Genomic DNA, 21,299 nt, shown 5'->3' with positions numbered 1-21,299 from the left:
ACGGGCGGATCAGGAGATCAGGAGATCAAGACCATCCTGGATAACAGGGTGAAACCTCATCTCTACTAAAAACACAAAAAATTAGCCAGGCATGGGGGCACACGCCTGTAGTCCCAGTTACTCGGGAGGCTAAGTAAGGCAGGATAATTGCTTGAACTTGGGAGGTGGAGGTTGCAGTGAGCCGAGATTGTGCCACTGCACTCCAGCCTGGGTGACAGAGTGAGACTCCATCTCAAGAAAAAAGAATAGTGTTTCTCTTTTAGTTTTTAGTATATTTCTAATGGTCTCTAAGATCTTTAAGCTTAATAATGTTAAACATTAAATACAAATCAGAGTTTTTTGTCTTTTGATTGTCTTTCTTCTTTTCTCATGAAAATAATTTTCCTTAATGCTACTTAAAAATTATTTGAAAACATAAATTTCACAATTGCTAAGGTATATAAATAATAGTTCTGTTATTTAGATCACAGGATCTGTTCTCAAGCTATAATTCTTGTCCTTCTAAATGGCATTTCTTGTAAGGCTAAGTTAGTTCATTAATTTTCATAGGGAGCCATCTGTGGAAATAGTCACATTAAGGGAAGAAAAGCCTAAGAGCTATTCCCCTCCCATTGTCAATCCAAATTTGAAAGGGTGATTTACTTCAAAGTGATTGCTTCAAATTCAGAAAACTTCACAAGAATGTTCTTGAGCAAGACATTCTCAATAACAGGTACTTAACTGAATTTCCTACACATTATAGAAAGCATTTTGTTAACTAAAGCTTTATCCATTGTCAATATGGTGAGGGGTGTGACGGTTAAAAAAAAGTGTGAGTCTTTGAGATCAAGCCTTTTCTTGTTTTAAATATTATATACATCATTCATTTTAATAAAATCTGTACTAAACAAGTCAATAACACTATTTAGTGTAGTAGACTTTGGATAAATTGTTTTGAAAATACTTTTAACTATTATATTTATCATAGAACCTAGAAAGCAAAATTATTATGAAGCACATGGGATTTTAATCCAATTATATTAGTTTCCTTAATATCTAATCATATCAACTATTCAGATTTTTAAAAGTAAATATAGCAAAAATAATTTTTCAAACATTTTCCTGTAGGAGTTTACATCTGATTTAATTAATATAAATTTAAAATAATTATATTAAACTGATACTAATCATACCTCATGGTTGGTTTAACTTACAGCTATGCATTACATATTTCAAACATTCCTTGTCGTATACATGAAGATATCCTTTTTTGTCATTAGAGTATATATAAAGTCTAAAGCTTGTTTTTAGCACCAACATTTTGTCTTCATTGCTGATTAACAGGACTTCAGACGAAGCACTTTTCAAATAACTCATTTATCTTTACAGCATGTTTGTAAGGAAGATGTGAGATATCTGCATTACAGCCAAGAAAGAGGCATTAATAATAGACTGACTTTGGTTTTTGTGTTTGTATTTTATTTTTTAATTATTTTCTTTGGAAAAAAATTCAAGGTAATTTATACATAGAATAGTATAAATGAACCCATGTGTACTCTCACACATTGCCCCCACATTAGATATATTTTGAAGCAAATCCTAGAGACCATATCATTTTACTTGTAAATATTCCAATTGTCACACTTAAGAAAATTTATGGTTTTATATATAAGTTGTCATATGTAGATATAATTATATGTAGTTAATATATCGTTAAAAATCCAGGCAGTCTTTAAGATCCCTAGTCTCAATTTTTGTAAGTTTTTGAGTTAGGATCCAAATAAGGGCCACATATTATGGTTGATTGATTAGGTCTTTTAAGTCTCTTTAGAAAAAGGAATGCTCATACATTGTTGGTGGGGGTGTAAATTAGTTCAGCCATTGTGAAAGACAGTGTGTTGATTCCTCAAAGACCTAAAGACAGATACCATTCGACCCAGCAATCCCATTACTGGGTATATACCCAAAAGAATATAAATCATTCTATTATAAAGACACATGCACACATATTTTCATTGCAGCACCATTCACAGTAGCAAAGACATGGAATCAACCTAAATGCCCATCAGTGGTGGGCTGGATCAAGAAAATGTGGTACACATACACCATGGAATGCTCTGCAGCCATAAAAATGAACTAGATCATGTCCTTTGCAAGGACATAGATGGAGCTGGAGGACATTATCCTTAGCAAACTAACACAGGAACAGAAAACCAAATACCACATTTTCTCACTTATAAGTGAGAGCTAAATGATGAGAACACATGGACATATAGAGGGTAACAACACACTCTGAGGCCTATCGGAGAGTGTGGAGGGTGGGAAGAGGGAGATCAGGAAAAATAACTAATAGTTACTAGGCTTAATACCTGGGTGATTAAGTAATCTTTACAGTAGACCCCCATGACACAAGTTTACCTATGTAACAAACCTGCACTTGTACCCCTGAACTTAAAAGTTTAACAATAATAATAATAATAATGAATATGTTGGCTTATGCTCACTCACACCTCTAACTCCCCACTTCAAACACACACACACACACACCATAGACAATTTATTTGCTGAAGAAATTGATCTTTTATCCTGCAGGGTTTTTCCATAGTCTGGATTTTTCTAGTTGCATACCTGGGTTGCCATTTTTCTTTTCTTCTTCTTTTTTTTTGAGATGGAGTTTCGCTCGTGTTGCCCAGGCTGGAGAGCAGTGGAGCAATCTCGGCTTATTGCAACCTCTGCCTCCCAAGTTTAAGCGATTCTCCTGCCTCAGCCTCCCGGGTAGCTGGGATTACAGGCATGCGCCACCACGCCCAGCTAATTTTGTATTTTTAGTAGAGATGGGTTTCTCCGCGTTGGTTAGGCTGGTCTCGAACTCCCGACCTCAAGTGATCCACCTGCCTCTTCCTCCCAAAGTGCTGGGATTACTGGCATGAGCCACCGCACCCAGCCTGCCTTTTTTCTTATATTTTTGGATCATATTCAGATTTGTTGGTTGGTTAGTAAGAATACATTTTAGGAAGGGTCATATACTTTCATCAAGAAGCATATCATATATCTAGGTCTTCCACTCATCTTAACAACCACTGATGAGCATTGTTTTAGATCCTTTATTTCATTAAGGATTACAAACTGGTAGTATTTTTACATTCGTTATAGCTGGAATGCCTCTACTTCATCAGCTATTTGGTTACCCTGAAGTACAATTCTTATAGGGAAGACAGGAAAAGTGCTTGGGGTTTTTTTTGTTTTTTTGTTTGTTTGTTTGCTTGTTTGTTTTTTCCCATTTATATGTCAGTTACCAAAACAATGAGATGGTTTCCTACCATCTTTCACAGGTGACCAATGAGTTCATTTTTAAATATCGTTTTGAATTTTTGGATTTAAATACATGTCATGTGTCTGTCCATTGCCATTGCTATTCTAGTCAATGTTCTAATCAATGTCCAATGTTTGACTAGTAGAAGCCCCTTCGAGTTGACTCTTGAATCCTTTTGACATAACCCTAGGAATCTTAGATTTCTGATAGGACAAGATGTTCCAGAATCATCTTATACATTTCCTGGCCCAGGCTGAGAGTCAGCCATTTATTTGAAAAGCTCTGATGTTTTTAGTAAAGAGTATTTAGAGACCATAATCTGGGTGCATTTTTTATGGTCGTATAGTCAAAAGTAACATATATAATTTATAAATCTAGTCCTGATCTAGTAATTTTCCACGTATATGGAAATGAAGAGGAGGAAGTACAGTTTTAATTCAAAATAATAATTTTTAAAAACCTAAATGAAACTTTCCTGTGACTTTAGAGTTTATATTTTATTACAAAATTGACTTCCCAGTTTATGTTTTTATTGACTTCACTTGGCATTCTCTAGGTAACAACACCATCTCATGGAGTGAAAAATTGCAGACTGACGAAAAGCAAATCCAGCTACAGATTAAAATTACACAGTGAATAATCTCAAATCTATTTACAAATCAAGAAAAGTTGACTATAAAACCTCCTAGGTAATTGAAGTTTTGAGATTAGCAAAAACAATACAGGAAACGCTGGGCTTAATAGAATAATTCTCACAGAACATGTTTCCTCATAAAGAATTGGATTGGAGATTATTTCTAGGATCTGGGTCTATCAATACAAAACTTTTTAATCATTATTTGAGTTGTTCTTTTCCTGTTTCATTTGTTTATTCTTTAAATATTTTTTAGCCATTTACTGAGTACTAGGCAATATTTTAGGTGGCAGAAATATGGGGGGGAGGCAGGGAATTACCAAGTTCCTTGTTTTCATACCCTAAGAGGAGTCACTTATATAAACACATAAGCCCATAAATAACAGTCCTAAAATTCACCTTAGTGTTTTCTAATCACTTCCTTTTTTGAGAATTGAAGACGTGAGAACTATTGTTGATATTTTTCCACAGTGAAAAAACAGCTTGCATGAACTTTCTGACACTCTAAGAAACTTTACTTGTATTAATCACTTTTTCTTCAACACGCATTTTTTTGATTAAAAGTTTTCCATTAAATTATTTTGGATGATAACATATAGAAGTTAATTCAAATTCTGCATTTCATTTGCACCTTTCAGAAACCTCTGATGTTTTAAAAATGTAGTGATATTTATGGCTACCAGAATTAATGGAGTATATACAGTAGTATTTATATATTTTTGCATTATATTCTCTTAGAAGGATATAAATGATTGAGTTCATCAGATTTTCTATGTAGTGGTTTCATATGAAATGATACCTTGGTAAAAATATCCAAATTCATCTATAAAAATCAAATTTCCCTTATTTAAAGATTGAATCCACTTTAATCCTTTATACAAAAAGTAGTCAGAAATGTTTATTAAAATGGAATTGGTGGAGGGAAGCACAATTTCAGTAACAAGAATACTTTTTATTTTATTTTATTTTGTAACACAATAGAGGGTTTTTCCCCTACTATGATTTAACCTTCAATTAGTCTGATAAGAGTAGCATATCAAAGATTCTTCCTAGAGCTTAAGTCATTCTCTGCTTGTGATTATAAGCTTTATATTTACAGTGGATGATTAGGTGCATCGTTGAGCTCCAAGGATACCATTTAGGGCAAAATTTGTTACATAATAAAAATAATTACTTAAAAGAACTAATTCACAAAGTTTATTACCAAGACATAGAAGTGTAAAAAGACTCTATTATGATAAAATTAAGATACTGGGCGTATAGTCAAAAGTAACATATATAATGTATAATTTTATACTCTATTATGATAAAATTAAGATTACAGTCCTCTAAAGACACTCACATTCCTAGATTTCTACTGTGACAGGATAGACTGTCTCTAAGATGGTTAATGATTGTTATATTTTGTGATACTCTAAAGGTTCAAAGTTATGTTGCTGCTTTATACAACATACATTTTTCCCCTGCGGTGTTTGAATAAGAATTTATTCCTTCAGAAGGGAATTCCTTGTGTAGTATATATGGTGTTCACCTGCCTGTATTTATCCATTTTTCAGGGAATGGATAGCTTTTCTTCCTAACCCTGCTACTTCTGTAATGACTACATAATATCCATATTGTATGTATATGTGGGTTTTGGTGTGTGACTGTATAGCCTCTCTTCACACTTTACTCAGTGAAGAATTTCTTTCTATTCTTAATCAGCCTTTATTACTACCAGCCAAAATATTATTGTCACACATTACAGTAGGCTTAACCATGATTCTCTTGAACCACTATGTACAGTGCAGTAGCCACTATCCTGGAGTGACTGTTAGACACTTACAATATGGCTGGTCCAGATCGAGATGTGCTGTAAGTGTAAAATACAAACTGGATTTTGAAGGCTTAGTATGAAAGCCTTCAACATATTTCAGATATGCTGAGTTACATGAAATACATCGTTAAATTAATTTCAGGAGTTTCTTTTTACTTATTGTGGTTTTTAGAAAATTTTCAATTACATATGTGGCTCACATTGTACTTATACTGGACAGCATTGCCCTAGAATAGTGTAAGTGAGTCATTATCTAGGCATCAAATCTCTATCTTTGTGTAATAGATAGTTCTAGTACAGACTTTATCCCCCAATATTCCTTGGTCAAAGCCACATGTAGTTGCCAGCTTACCATGTGGCATGGCTGTGCCTGTGTGTGACTTGGGAATAGACTTCTCAGAATCTTCTAAGTATAGAATCAATAAGTGTCATCATAATAGCATTCTAGTATCACTCAGAAAAAAGGTTTAGACTATCAGCGTGAATGAAACCATTGTCCTTGTGGTAGTGTTGTACTTAGCACTTTAAAAATAATTTAAACATTTTAAAGATTATATTATTTTATGGATCTTTAGCTATGAACTTTGTAAATGAACGTTACGTACAAAATAAATGTTAATGAGGAAAACCTGTTTTGCTACAGTAAACACTAAGTTACGGTTTTACTGCTTTAACTGATAGCACTAGATATTATGCATGAATATTAGAATAAGAAAGATACTTTACTGATTCTTCTGTTTTATTAATTTGAAATATGGTTAACATGTAATCCACATTACAGCTATGACATGCTGTACTTGTTTTATTGGAAATTTTAAGATGTATATAAAAGACAGTAAACTTCCACTTAAACTGAGATGGATCAAAACAGGGGTTATGTTTTAATCTCATGTAATTTAGCATAAGTGCTATATATAGCATAATTTAAGACATTATTCAGTATTTTATATAAAGCATTCTTTTTTAAAAACCTAGATTGGAGTTTGAATATAAAAAATTCTCAAAATTACATGTTTTAAATTTCAAATGATCAGCAATAAGATTATGGTTACATCAGGTATAAATATGGTAGCTAAGCAATAAAACATTTGTTTGATCATTACAGAAATTTTCTCATGCAAAACCCCAATTTTTTTCTTAATTTTTAGGAAACCAGAATCCGGGCAATGGATAAGGATGCCAAGAAAAGAATCCATAATTTCTCTGTCATCAATCCTGTTCCTGGACAAGCTATAACTCAGATTTTTGCAGTTGACAATAGAGAAGATCTTCAGAAGTGGATGGAAGCCTTCTGGCAGCATTTCTTTGATCTTAGTAAATAGATATTTGGATTTTTTTAGTTGTGTATTTATGTAGCCTAAAAGGATGTGCACAGCAATCTTAAAATTGTAATCTTAGAGTTTGTAGCAAAAATTTTTTATGTTCTTGAAAGAATGGTAGTATATCATCAATGCACTGATGCTTCTTTCTGTCAATCTCTTTCCAGTGCCTGACTATTGTATAGTATACGTTTGGATTCTAGCATCTCTACCTCCTACTTTTTGAAGCTCCCTCTGGTCACTAAAACAACCAGACCATATTCTCTCAAAATGTTAGGATTTAACTGTTGAAGGCAATGTGTTTGATCCAAGGGATAAGAAGCCATTTGAGGAACAAAAAACTTTTCCAGGATAATGATGATCCTAAAATATTGAAACATTCAGGAGTCTCACTTTGTAGCCTTCCCTTAACTCCAGATTCGTTATCATCTTCTTGGACATCATCCAGACAGGTTTCTTTTTAAACCACACACATAGGATTTTCTCATCTCAATAATACAGTCCAATGACATGGACATAAAAACAATGTATGGTAATGTAATAGGGCTCTAGTGTATAAAATATATGAGGTTCTAATATTTCTCGAGGAATTTTATCAACAGGAAAATACTGAAATCGTAACAGTTCTTTGTGTTTACTGACAATAAGTCAAACAGCATATTATCATTATATTGAAAATGTAGAATGTTGATAATGTCTGTTTCTGATCAAACAAAGCCTACTGATAGATACTACCAGTATTTTGTCTACTGAATCCTATTCCATAGAAAGTTGAGACATTTCCAAAAAAGGAAAATTATTTCTGCAACTCATGGAAATAATCCTAGGGACAGACATTTTAGGAATTCTGTTTTCTGGAGCACTATGAGGAAGAGTTAATACTTGCAGCCCTCAAGTTAGAAGTTGGGTAAGAGGCAAGAAAGGGATCTAAATTTATGGATTATTTCCCGTATAACAGATTATTTCATTTATTTCTCATAACACTCCTGCGAGGTAGAAATTATTTCCCTTTGCTCTGAAGATGAGAAAACTTAGGCCTGAAGAGGTTTCTGTTTCACAGCATCGAACTAGAGGGTTCCCTCCATGGCCTTCTTGTATTGTTTAGGACTTGTTTTCCTTAAGTATCATCCCTAGACACTCAATAAATGTTCAAATATTCATTTCATGCTTATCAGCGTGTACCACATTTATTTAGTTAAAATTTTCAGGCCAGGCACGGTGGCTCACGCCTGTAATCCCAGCACTCTGGGAGGCCGAGGCAGGCGGATCACCTGAAGTCAGGAGTTTGAGACCAGCCTGACCAACATGGTAAAACCCCGTATCTACTAAAAATACAAAAATTAGCCAGGCGTGATGGCACGTGCCTGTAGTCCCAGCTACTTGGGAGGCTGAGGCAGGAGAATTGCTTGAAGCCAGGAGGTGGAGGTTGCAGTGAGCCAAGATCTCACCTGTATACTCCAACCTGGGCGATAGAGCAAGACTCTTGTCTTTAAAAAAAAAAAAAAAAAATTCAGCAGATCTCAGGTGTATAACTTAAAAGACAAGAACTTCCTTGCTTTTGCTAATCATAGCTAAAACTTTAACCATTTTACTAAATGTTCTGTCTTAGAGAATCCGTCTTATAAATGACTATCTTATTTTTAGAAATGATTTTGGTATTTTTATTTGTTTTATTTTTATTTTTATTTTTTGAGATGGAGTTTCGCTCTTCTTGCCCAGGCTGGAGTGCAATGGCGCAATCTTGGCTCACCGCAACCTCTGCCTCCCGGGTTCAAGTGATTCTCCTGCCTCAGTCTCCCTAGTAGCTGGGATTACAGGCATGTGCCACCACGCCCAACTAATATTGTATTTTTAGTAGAGACGGGATTTCTCCATGTTGGTCAGGCTGGTCTCAAACTCCAGACCTCAGGTGATCCGCCCACCTCAGCCCCCCAAAGTGCTGGGATTACAGGTGTGAGCCACCGCACCCAGCTATTGTATAATTGTTATGTGCATAAAAACAGGAGGAGAGGTAAATGAAGGTGATAATACCAGAATCTTGTAGTCTAGATATCAACTACTATTAGATGATCATCTCATGCTTTCATTCTCTAGATTATGTGAAATAATTTATCATGCTGAAATGGAGATTTGAAAGAATAAGAACCTCATGACATTTTTGTACTGTCAACATAATAAGGAAGTGATGACAACTTGGTTCTCGGGTCTGGTTACATTTTTGGTATTTAATGCTTTTTTGCATAAAAACTGCCAACCTATGTAATTTTTAAAGTACAAATTCTATTACATTTATACTTCAAAATTCAGAATTCATTGTGTATGGATATATGAAGCAAAGATGGAGGTATTTATACCATACTAAAAATTTGACTTGTACTTTAAAATTTTAACTTTCCTAGTGACAGGTGCAACCTCTTGTGATCCTGGTTGAAGTATGGTATGTAGAACAAAGTACAGGATAGGTATTCAGGGCAGAATAAAGTAAGAGAAATTTAATATTGAGAGCAAATTTCAATTATTTGACTCTATTTAAGAATAGAAAACCAGGAAGGTGAGATAATTAGAACTCAGGAGGAAACACTTACGGAAGTAGATCTGTTTAGCCCAGGGAAGAATAGCCTCGGGTGGATGTTGGTGGGCAAGGGGGATGTAATAGCTATTTTTAACATTTGTGAGTTAACAGTCATGTAAAAGAGGAGTGACCCATGTTCTGGATGGTCAATAGGAGTGGAGCAGAGAATGGTAGGTCAAAGATAGAGAAAATTAAGGTAGATTTGGAACATTAAATTTTTAAAAAATATTTAACAATATAAATATTGAGTTACATTAGGAGCTTAGCATAAAAAATTATTTTGACTGGGAACACTATAACAGTAAATGGTATTTTAGGAAACATCTTCAATATATAAATTGTTATGTGAACAAAACATACCCATTTAATATTTCATATTGCGCCCTTGTTTTCATGTTAGCATATTGGCTATCATGTATAGCTATGCATAGAGATTTATTTGCTGGCAAAATAAATGTTTCAGTCGTAAAGTCTTGACCCATGAACACGTTTATACCTCTGACTTTAGTAACACGTGAAATAATGTGGCATTATATTCCAGTTTTCATTGTAACTCATATTCTGCTACTAGTTTAACAATGAAATGCTTTCATTTATCGATATAGAGGAAATACTGTACTTTATAATAGTTTTTCTAAGAATGTGACAGAAAAGTGTGCCAGTTTGAAGTGTTTCATTATTTTTCCATTAGATATGGGTTTTTTTCCTGCCCCTAAGAAGAAAAAAACTGGCTCTTATATATTTATCTATAAAAGGAAGTGTGGGGAGGAATAAGTTATCAGATCTCAGATCCTACTAGATGTACATTCTAGAGATCAACCTTTGAAGCCTTGTACTCAAGAATTTATTCCCTTTATCAGTTGCTGTGTGGCTTATTTTGAAATTTTTATCATATTCTGTGCTTAGCATCATAATAAAACATACTGAAAGGCTTTTTTTATGTTTCTTAACTAATGGTGGTGGATTTTTAATTTATGCATATATTATCATATTACTATGAGAGTATATTCAACTACAAACAACAAAAATGAGTAATTTTACTAAACATGAAGTGTCCTTAGTTTTTAAGTCACAGAAAATAATCAAGTTGGGTATGAAATACGGATATACAACATAAGTGTATTACATTTACTTTTCTATTGGTATAAGATAGGCTATAAGAAGGTGAACCTCAGTAACTAACTCTTATAAAATTAATATACAGATACGTAGGAACTAGCATAGTTGCTATCCAGCATGCAGGTGCACAATAAGTATGAAAAGATTAAATTTTTAGACATCACTCAGGAGAAATCTAAAAAATTTAAGATTAAAATAGTGTGAAACATAATTAAAATAAAAATTAATGTCCACACTCAAATTTTAACTTAATAGTTGAAAGATTTTATTCAAGACTATTTTTTTCTTATTCCAAATGCCTTTATTTAATGTGTCCTTCCTAAAACAAATTAGACTCAGAATTTTATTGGGTGATATGACTTTATAATAATAGGTTTTTATATACCTTTTAAAACCTAAAAGAAAATACAGTGTTTTTCTAGAGTTAAATGATTTTGAAAAGCATGATAATCATCTTAAAGGGACAGTTGTTAAATAAATAATTTTTATTTCTTAATCAAAATTTTCATAGTTAAAACCATTTTTGAAAACCTCACTCCTTTATGTTTTTTTCTATTTCCTTCTAGGTAACTATATTTCAGTTGATTGTTTAACCTTTCAACATCTTGAATACTTAATGTTTACTATTCAAAAGAAGAAAACCCTTCCCAAACTTTTGCAATAAATAGAAATTTTAAAGTAGTTATTAACCATTTAGTGAAATAGGATAGTATTTAATAGCCTAGAGATTTTAGCCTAATGTCTTTGCATAGAAGTACTTCTTTTTCTTTTTTCTTTTTTTTTTTTTTTTTTTTTTTTGAGACGGAGTCTCTCTCTGTTGCCCAGTCTGGAGTGCAGTGGTGCAATCTCGGCTCATTGTAACCTCTGCCTCCCAAGTTCAAGTGATCCTCCTGCCTCAGCCTCCCAAGTAGCGGGGACTACAGCCACCTGCCACCATACCCAGCTAATTTTTGTATTTTTAGTAGAGAAGGGGTTTCCCCATGTTGGCCAGGCTGGTCAAGACTCCTGACCTCAGGTGATCTGCCCACCTAGGCCTTCCAACTTGCTGGGATTACAGGCATGAGCCACCGTGCCCGGCCAAACTTTATTTTTTAAATAGATTACTTTTATGTTCAGAACTGGACTTTGAAATTATGGATAGTATTAGGTTTTTCTGCAAGCCTCCCTTAACGCAGTGCTTTATGTATAAATTCACTGATTTTTATTCAAAGCAAAAATGTATTGCTATCTATTAAAAATGAAATATATATCTTCACATTTATGTTTTAAACTAGTCTACCTTTTTTCTGTCTGTCTTAGGCCAATGGAAGCACTGTTGTGAAGAACTTATGAAAATTGAGATTATGTCACCACGGAAACCACCTTTGTTCTTGACAAAAGAGGCAACCTCAGTCTACCATGATATGAGTAAGTGGGGTTTGTCTTTTCTAAGCTGCAGGATAACAAAAACAACATTGTCCATACTGAAGCAGCTTATTCTATTGACATTAAAATGCTAAAATTTTCAGGGCACAATCAAAATAAATGAAAAAAGACTGATTATAGACTAAGGAACTCATGTTTAATAGATGAATTAATACAAAATAATGAATACACGTTTTTTCATAGTCTGAATGCTTAAGATCAGACAAAAAATTTAAGGCTTAAAATGAGTAAAGGTGCACTGAAAATAAATATTAGCTGAGTAGCTGATGAAAATTCTGAAAATAAACATTTGCACATTCTAAAATGTAATCATGTTCAGTAATTTTTTTTCTGTATTTTATTAAATTTGTTTCCAAGTAGTGTTGATAGATGCATACTAATGAATGGAAGCTTTCATCTCTAGCCAGAAAAAAGAAATTGGTTAAGTTTAATACTTTGGAAAATTTTAAATTTCTAGACCCACTAATATTCAATTTCCCACACCTTGAAGGGTGTTTATTTTTGTGCTGTTGCCTCAGTAAATAATGTTGTGAACAAGTGCAAGTCAGTCTAAATTCTGTTTAATTTGCCACTAATGTACCTGTACTTACATTCACTTTAAAATGTCAGGTTAAAAATGATACATTTGGGTTCACACATTTTAAAATACCAGTAATTTATTTAATAGAGATTTATCTCTGTTCTTTTATTTTTGCCAAGGAAAGTTTCACCCACCACCCTTATTACCAAAGTGGTATGAGGGCTTTACTCTGTTTTCCTGGGTTTTTGGTTTTAAGCATTTTCCCTTTTAACAGAGACTTTGCTGGTCTACAGGAAAGAATACTCATCCAAATGCAGTCATCCTAATATATATCTAGCTTTTGTAAAAAAGGAAATCTCTTACCTAGCAGTCAGAATAAGGTTTTAAATCCAGGAAATGTTATCTCATAAATACTTAATCTATAGAATTTTTTAGAAAACTCATATAACTCCACTTCTTTGAAAGATGGATTTTGCTAATTTATATAGGAATATATTTATACATGTGTATGTATTATGTAAATTATATGTATGTTATATATGTTTTATATACTATGTATTATGTGTATGTTTACATATATAATGTATGATTAGTGCAGCGCATGATCTTTTTAGTTCTGATGGTGTGGTTATTTTTACAAGTGAACGTTTTCCTTATCATAGTCTTTGATGACCATTGTATATAGCATACTAGTTTGGAAAAGAACTTATTTAGATAAAGTACATACTGCTTTTGAATTTTTTCATGTTTTTTTTTCTTAAAATTATTATAGGCATTGATTCACCTATGAAACTTGAAAGTTTAACGGATATAATACAAAAAAAAATTGAAGAGACAAATGGGCAGTTCCTTATTGGTCAGCATGAAGAATCCTTACCACCTCCTTGGGCCACACTCTTTGATGGTAACCATCAAATGGTCATCCAGAAAAAGGTACTGTATCCTGCAAGTGAGCCATTACATGATGAAAAAGGGAAAAAGAGACAAGCTCCCCTTCCTCCTTCTGATAAACTTCCATTCAGCTTAAAATCACAGAGTAACACAGATCAATTGGTTAAGGACAACTGGGGAAAAACAAGTGTATCTCAGACATCGTCTTTGGATACCAAACTATCAACTCTAATGCATCACTTACAGAAACCAATGGCTGCTCCTCGAAAACTTCTGCCTGCCAGGAGAAATAGATTAAGTGATGGTGAGCACACAGACACTAAAACCAATTTTGAAGCCAAGCCAGTGCCAGCTCCAAGGCAGAAATCCATCAAAGACATTCTGGACCCTAGATCATGGCTGCAGGCACAAGTATAGAAAACTCTTAATGATAAAACATTTAACAAAATCTATAACTGTGAAGCTTAATTCAGAGGCATTATAGAATAATGTGTAATTATATAGGTAAATATAGTGATTTATACCAATAATTAATAAGCTATTAGGTATAGAAAAACATTTTATAATGAAGAAGTGGATTTCTCTTTTACTCCTGATTTGCAGAATGTAAGTGATTTCTCCAGCAGTGTGCAAGAGGCAGTTTCTAGACAATATCCTAATTGTTGGAAGGGTTAATTTATTCCTGAATTAGTACCAGGCAGTGAATAAGCCCTAGGCAGAATAAAGCATTAAAATTTCTTTTGGGGAGAGACTGTCTAGTAATTTAAAATGTGTTAAATATGAACCATATTCTCATTGTGAGAATTTTAATACTAATGGAATGTTTCAAAGGTTTTATTCAAACCACAAATTATAGAATCCACCCAAGAAAATTTTCTTAGCATTCTGGAATTCTCATCTAATGGTTCACTGGCTCTCATCTATTGTTTAACTCACTAGTTTATAGGCCTGACCTTTTAAATTCCTGGGATAAATTTTAGAATATTAAATTCTTCATCTTTAAAGGGAATTTGTAATGTGCTATTCAAACTTGTTTCCTTGATGAGCCCTGAAATACTGTTGACATTAACTTTCATAAATGAAGCATAACACTTACTAGTTTAGAGAAATGGTAGATGAAATGCTCTTTACATTCAATTTTCTGTGTGTGGTGCTAATTTCCATTGTGACTTTGGAATTTAGGGAAGTGAGTAGCTGATCAACACCTTAAAATTCATTTAATACTTATTTAAAAAGAAGATGAGAGATTCAAAAATATCAGAAAAGTTGGCCATGGTAAATAATTTTCAGAATTCTTTTTTAAAATTTTAATTAGATTTCCTTTTCCTAGTAAGAGTTGATGTCTGCTAGTGGTATTTTTCATTAAATGTCATATTCTTACAACAGTGACATTGGAATCATTTCCATAGGAGGTAATTTCCATAGCAACTAATCATAGTGACCCAAACAGGATTATAAAGTCAAGTGAGGAATAAATAGCAGAAAAATACCTTAAAGGAACAAAAAATCCATTTTTTATAATAATGCTTTTTGTAAACAAGAGCAGAACAGTTTTAAAAATCTAATTAGAATTTCCAAATAAAACAGTTTCCATAAGGTGTCAGCAACAGCACTAAAAATCTCAAATCACACTGAACCCTAAATGTCATTGCAAGAAATAAAAATTTAAGAATTAAATTGCTGCCCTGTGTATAATCTCTTGAGATCTTTTTAAAGCTAGCAAGAACTCTATTTGGATCAGAACTACATTATTACAAAACAAAATGAACACTTGACCAAAAAACCACATTAATTTAAATGGAGCCTTTCATTATTTTCAGATAGCGGGGTCTTTTCCATTTATAGAGAATGATGTAACTGCCAGGACACTTTTGTGTTTGCCCAGGACTCCTAGTAAGAATTGAATCTTGAGGGAGTAATGATAACAAAAGGTTTCTTGTGACTGGTAACATCAGGACAGACAGAGTTTTTGGTGAGAAGAAAGTACTATATGCCTGCTTGATAGCATGTAGAGATCATCACATGTATGGAAACCTTAAAAAGTAAACTTATTTTTTCTAACTAGAAGGCTCTCATAAGTTTCTGTTATGATTGCCATTTCAATAAATGACATTAAAAATCTAAAGGATATTATTGTTTGAATTTTTGGGTTATTTTTTAAAACTTCATTGCTGTTTTTGACAGCATTTGTGACTGTCATTGCCACTAAATTATTGAGCTAGAAGATGCTGCAGGGAAAATTGTTTTGAAGCTGGCATCTAAGCATTCTTTTTTTTTTCCTAGTTGATGCCTTCCTTTATTACAAATCAGTATTAAAACTTCCAGATTATATTCTTGTCATTTTTCCTCATGCAGATAACAGCAGGAAGGACTTAAGGTGTATAAGAAAAAGAAAGTATTCATACAGAAATTACCTAGCAGTTGTGCCCTCAGAGTAGAACTTTGAAACAGGACTGAAGCCCTTTTTACCTAGAACCATTTAAAAGCCTGAGCAAGGACCACCACCCCCTCCCCACCAAATTATTCGGTCTCTTTCTGGGGGGCCCAGCTTACTGTATGTTACAAGTCTTTGAAATGGGTCTGGTGTCTTCAGCTCCTGAAATGCTAATTTACCCCTTACCTAAGGAGTGTAGTTATAATACAGAGTTGGTTTCCTTCCTTCCTTCCTTCCTTCCTTCCTTCCTTCCTTCCTTCCTTCCTTCCTTCCTTCCTTCCTTCATTCCCTCTGTCCGTCTCTCCTTCCCTCCTTCCCTCCTTCCTTCCTTTTTGTCTTTGTTTCTTTCTCTGGCCCCCTGTCCTCTCTCTCTGTCTCATCCCCTTTTCCCACTTTCCTTCTGTCTCTCCTTCCTCCCTTCCTTTACAGTTTAAAAAAAAAATCTAAAAATAGTTAAGCACTGTGTCAAAGAGTGTTTCAAAAGAATTGTTTGTTTTCTCATTTCTTAAACCAGAAGTTTATGACAAATAAATATGCCATGTAATATGAAAGCTGCTTCAGCTTTTTATGAGCTTTCACATTCCTTGTTTGTCCTTTTAATTTGTTTCTTGATATATGAAGACTATAAACTTGAAACAAAGAGTTAGCTGTCAGCTCTTGATAATATAATTGGGGAAACAGAATAGATATTTTATGATATGATAATTCTGATGATCTAAAGATAATGTCTTAGACAATTACCTTTACATTTCAAGCTCTGGGATATAAATTACGTAGTCAGCATTAAGATAGTATTATTTTTAATTGCTACTAAGTGGTAACTTTTGTATTTTAATATCTTGCAAGGGCAAAGAAGGCATTTTTAAAATTCTAAATGCACACCTCCTAAGGTAAATAGTCTTTCAAAAATATCAGGCGTGCCAACTCTTGCTGAGTTTTGTTAAATCCTCCTTAACTGTCTGCAGTGCCCCCTGACTTCTTTTAAATGGATGTGAATATATGTGGAAAACTAAATCCATTTATTATAAATGCCTTATCTTTACCCTTTGGGATCTTACTAAATGCATTTTACCTGCTACTATTTATTAAAAATGGAAGCTGTCTTGAATTAGAGATACCTCACGTAAGGTAGGTTAAGCAGTCAAGTATTTCTTTAGGCTTATGTTCAGCACCTCAGCCCCCTACTGAGAAGTTAATTAATTCAGTCCAAAATGAAATTATAGGGCAGTTTGGTGCAATTTATGTTAAATGCCATTTGAATGTAATCACCTGTGTTACCACGAATGAGGCACAACTATACTACATGGACAGAGTACTGCATTGCACCATGAGCAAGAACTGCTCTGCAAGAAAAATATCTGTCCCTGTGGTCTGAATTTATCAAAACTCATTTTCTTGTTAAAGAGTGAATTATTGAATAGTAATTAAACTTTAACTGATGACCATTTATATTCTAGTAGCCATCTTCACTGTTAGTCTTAAATTATAATGTAAAGTTGACATTTTCCCCTTACATTTCAAAGGCATCACTATTTTTAAATGTTTACATATGTTTACATGTTTGTGTGCAACTGCTTCATTGCTATTAATAGTTAAATGAAATCTGCATATTCTGGATCATAGATGTTCTTAGTTAACTCTGGGAAAGATGTTACCTTTGGGTTTTTAAAAGACAAGTCATCATTTGAAAATATATTAGGGTGTGTTGATTTTCTGACATGCTTGTGTAATTGGCTTTGTTTATAATTTTTATTTTTTAATATGGGTCAGACTTTTGGATTAAAAAGTATTATATCATGGACATACATTTTTTAAAGTACCAAAGGTATTTGGTAAGCGAGCCCAAGTCATGTAATTGAAACTTCTGTACATTAAAAGAACTGATTCATGAAGACGTTTTCTAACTTTTTCTCTTTAAGTGCTCCTCTAGACTAGACTGATTGAAGTAGACAGTGTGGTGGAATCAGTTTAATCAGAAAAAGACATACCAAGTAGCTGGTGCTAATTATTATAAGACTAACATTCTGATAAGCCATGGTATAATTAACATTATTAAAATGTTTACATATAATCCTTCTTAAAGTATACTCTTTTAAAAATCCATTGACATAACCTTACTTTTAGTTTAGTGATCCAGAATTTCCCCAGAGCTTAAGCCACTGCAGTAAATTAGGTACGTAGGATATTCAGTCGCTACTAGCCACAAGGAGTCTCCTTATTTTAATGTACCTCCCTCAGTACTTTATTCCTGCAGAGCGCCTCAGAGTGGGGGAGAGAAATGAGCAATCCTGGCTCAGTTGGATTATTTCAGCATTTTATTTCTAAATCTGTAGTGTGATCAGAAATATTTAAAATTAAAAAAATACTTTACAGAGAGAGGCCTACTAATCAATGTGCTTAGAGAAACAAACTACCTTTACATTCAATTAACAACAAAAAAAGTTACAGAAATTTTAACAAACATTTTTCTTTATCTGAGTATGGGAGAAAATACTAATGCTGACACGTTTAATAATTAGAAAAGATCATTCCAGATCTTATGGAAAATTGTGTTTTAAATTCCAGCAGTTTGCTCTTGAGACATGGTAATCTCTTAATGTAACTACTAAAGGAGAGGTAGATTGAAAAGATCTTGTATATACATAATTATGTCAGATGGTTCAAGATATCAAAATAAATTGTTTTGTTGAAAATGAATACTTTTTGGTGTCTTGCTTAAAAATATTTTTATATTTTGTTTATCTACTCAAAATTATGAATGGATGCATTTTTGTAGAACTTAATCTTAATAAACATTTAACTGAATTAGTTGTAGCAATTTTATAATTTTATATTAACAGGGAGAATAGTAGTAAGAGGAATTATTCACTTACCTCAAATATTAAAATGTGTGTTTTATGTATATAAAATATAATACTATAGATATAACATACATACATACATACTCATACACATAGTGTGTTAGATTCTTCAGGTATTTTCAGTTAGTTTTAAAAAATTCTTTTAAAATATGCTTCCAATGGAGCAGAATAAAAATTTCAAATCCCCTTCCATAGTTTACAGAAACCATTACAACCCAGCTCCAACCTGCCATGCCCTACTAGGTACTTCACTCTCAGTTCCTGTGCTTGTAGGACTAGCTGTTGGCTAGGGGTCACTCTTAGCTCCTAGAAACTGTGCTCCGGCCCTTGCTAGTAGCCCCTTCGGTCTTCAAAGTCAGCAACAGTGCATCAAGCCTCCCTCATGCTTCAAATCTCTGACTATTTCAGCTGCTCCCAATTGAAGAAAGTGCTTTGCTTTTAAAGGGCTCATATGATTAAATGAGGAATGCCCACCACGATAATTTCCCTTTTGAGTAATTCCAGGTCAGCTGATTCGGAAATCACTTTTGCATGCAATGTAATGATGGGTGTGATATCTCATCGTCTTCATGGGTAAAGAGCCATTGAATTAGAGCCACTGGAGTGCTATTTTAGCAGGCTACCCACCACATCTTATCAGATTTTTCAAGGGCAGAAAGCATGTTTTATTGACATTTAACCCTGTCATAGTATACTGTAATGAGAGTGAGTACAGCTTATTGGGTAATATGTGTAAGATACTATACTGTGTTAAATATTTTATATAAATTAATCATTACCATATTCTCTCAGTAGCCCCCCTTAACACACACAAGAGTGGAAGACTTGCTCTGGGTCATATACTGCATGGTAGTTGACTACGGACTCTGGAGTTAGACTTGGGTTAAATTCTAGCTCTGTCATGACTTAGCTATATGATTTGGGGCTTTTTTTTTTTAACCTCATTTGGGTTTTTTATTTTAATGTTTAAGATAAAAAAAAACCTTATAATATAGTTGTGTTTATTAAATAAGGTAATGCATGTAACACATAGTCTAGGACCTAATACTTAAGTTCCTGCCTTGTTTCTATAGGTTGACATATAGTATGTAACACGTGTATGAAGAGGGAAGAGGATACAGCTGATAGAGACCCAACACACACACAGTAACTTAGTCACTTATAACCCCTCTCCTATTTTCATTTCTTGCTTGATGTGAACATGTTAGGCTCACAGTGCATAAAAGTTTAGGAAATACCTAAAAGTGTATCCAAATACTTATTGTTCATTGTCTCTTGAACTCTATATTTGGCACTATTGGGGCTTATAAATTAAAAGACAGCCTATTCTTAAGCTCACGTGAATTCCGGTGAGTAGAACCAATCATTAGAGACTATGGAGATGAAGCATGGTTTGACCTGCCTCCCATATATCTAACATAAATCTGTCTGGATACAAGCAATCCCTACCTGCCACTGGGAAACTTAGGTTATAAAGATTAAAAAATACATAAAACACTGTGGGCAGTATGAAAGAGTAATCAGTATTACACAATTTAGCATCTCATTTTAAGTGCTGTGAAAGATCTGTGACGGATTGAGTTAAGGCTGGGCACGGTGGCTCATGCCTATAATCCCAGTACTTTGGGAAGCCAAGGCAGGCAGATTGCTGGAGCCCAGGAGTTCAAGAGCAGCTTGGGCAATGTAGTGAAACCTTGTCTCTACAAAAAATAATAATAATTAAAACATAGCCATGTGTGGTGGCACATGCCTGCAGTCCCAGCTACTTGGGAAGCTGAGGTGGGAGGATAACTTGTAACTTGAGCCGAGAGTTCCAGCTGCGATGAACTGTGATCGAGTCACTGTACTCCAGCCTGGGCAGAGTGAGACCCTGCCTCAAAAAACTAACGAGTTAAGAAGTGCAAAAGTATATACTATGAATATCTTGCAAAGATATAAGGATTAATAATAATAGGGTTTTCAAATCTAGAAGGGATGAGTAAAATAGAAGATAATTCATCCAATGGGTTCCTGGAGGAGTTTCATTTTGCAGCATTCAAAGGGAGGTTAGTAGTCATAGAAGTGGAAAGGAATGAATGGATAAGGCAGTTGGCTGGGCAGAAATGGAATGAGCGTATTGTGAAGTAAATTGTAGGTAAAACAAGTAGGCATGATTGAAGCAAATGTGGCAGTAGGTGAGAGATGGGATATGCTGGACCACATAAAGGACCTTGAATGCTAGTTCAAGAAAGTAAGACGGGTTAAGCTGGAATAGTTGGCATCAGAACTAGAGCTGACGGAGTTAGGAGAATGAGCACTCAGCCCCTGGCTACCATTAACTAGCCACGTTGTCTTGGACAAGGTATTTACTCACCTGTTCAACTTCCTTATTAACATTAAACAGGTGAGTAAATACTTTGTTCTAGACAACATGGCT

General features: G+C 33.9%; 1 protein-coding gene across 7 annotated transcripts in view; it reads left to right on the top strand.

Annotated features, from left to right (window-relative positions):
- The window catches only part of RTKN2 (rhotekin 2), an 84,945-nt gene that overhangs the window by 56,932 nt on the left and 6,714 nt on the right, over positions 1 to 21,299 (top strand). For 4 of the 7 annotated variants that reach the window (XM_017015844.3, XM_011539457.4, XM_047424717.1 and 1 more), the window contains 3 exons: positions 6,891 to 7,056; positions 12,052 to 12,159; positions 13,470 to 13,630. In XM_017015844.3, coding sequence (XP_016871333.1) covers positions 6,891 to 7,056; positions 12,052 to 12,159; positions 13,470 to 13,630 — 435 coding nt within the window. Of the gene's footprint in view, positions 1 to 549; positions 713 to 6,890; positions 7,057 to 12,051; positions 12,160 to 13,469; positions 18,828 to 21,299 lie in introns of those variants that run through there. The other 3 variants (NM_145307.4, XM_011539456.3, XR_945618.3) reach the window with 2 other exon arrangements.

Source organism: Homo sapiens, chromosome 10, assembly GCF_000001405.40.
Source record: "Homo sapiens chromosome 10, GRCh38.p14 Primary Assembly".
Lineage (NCBI taxonomy): Eukaryota > Metazoa > Chordata > Mammalia > Primates > Hominidae > Homo > Homo sapiens.
The sequence above is the reverse complement of the archived record's forward strand: the minus strand, read 5'-3'. Positions and strand labels throughout refer to the sequence as shown.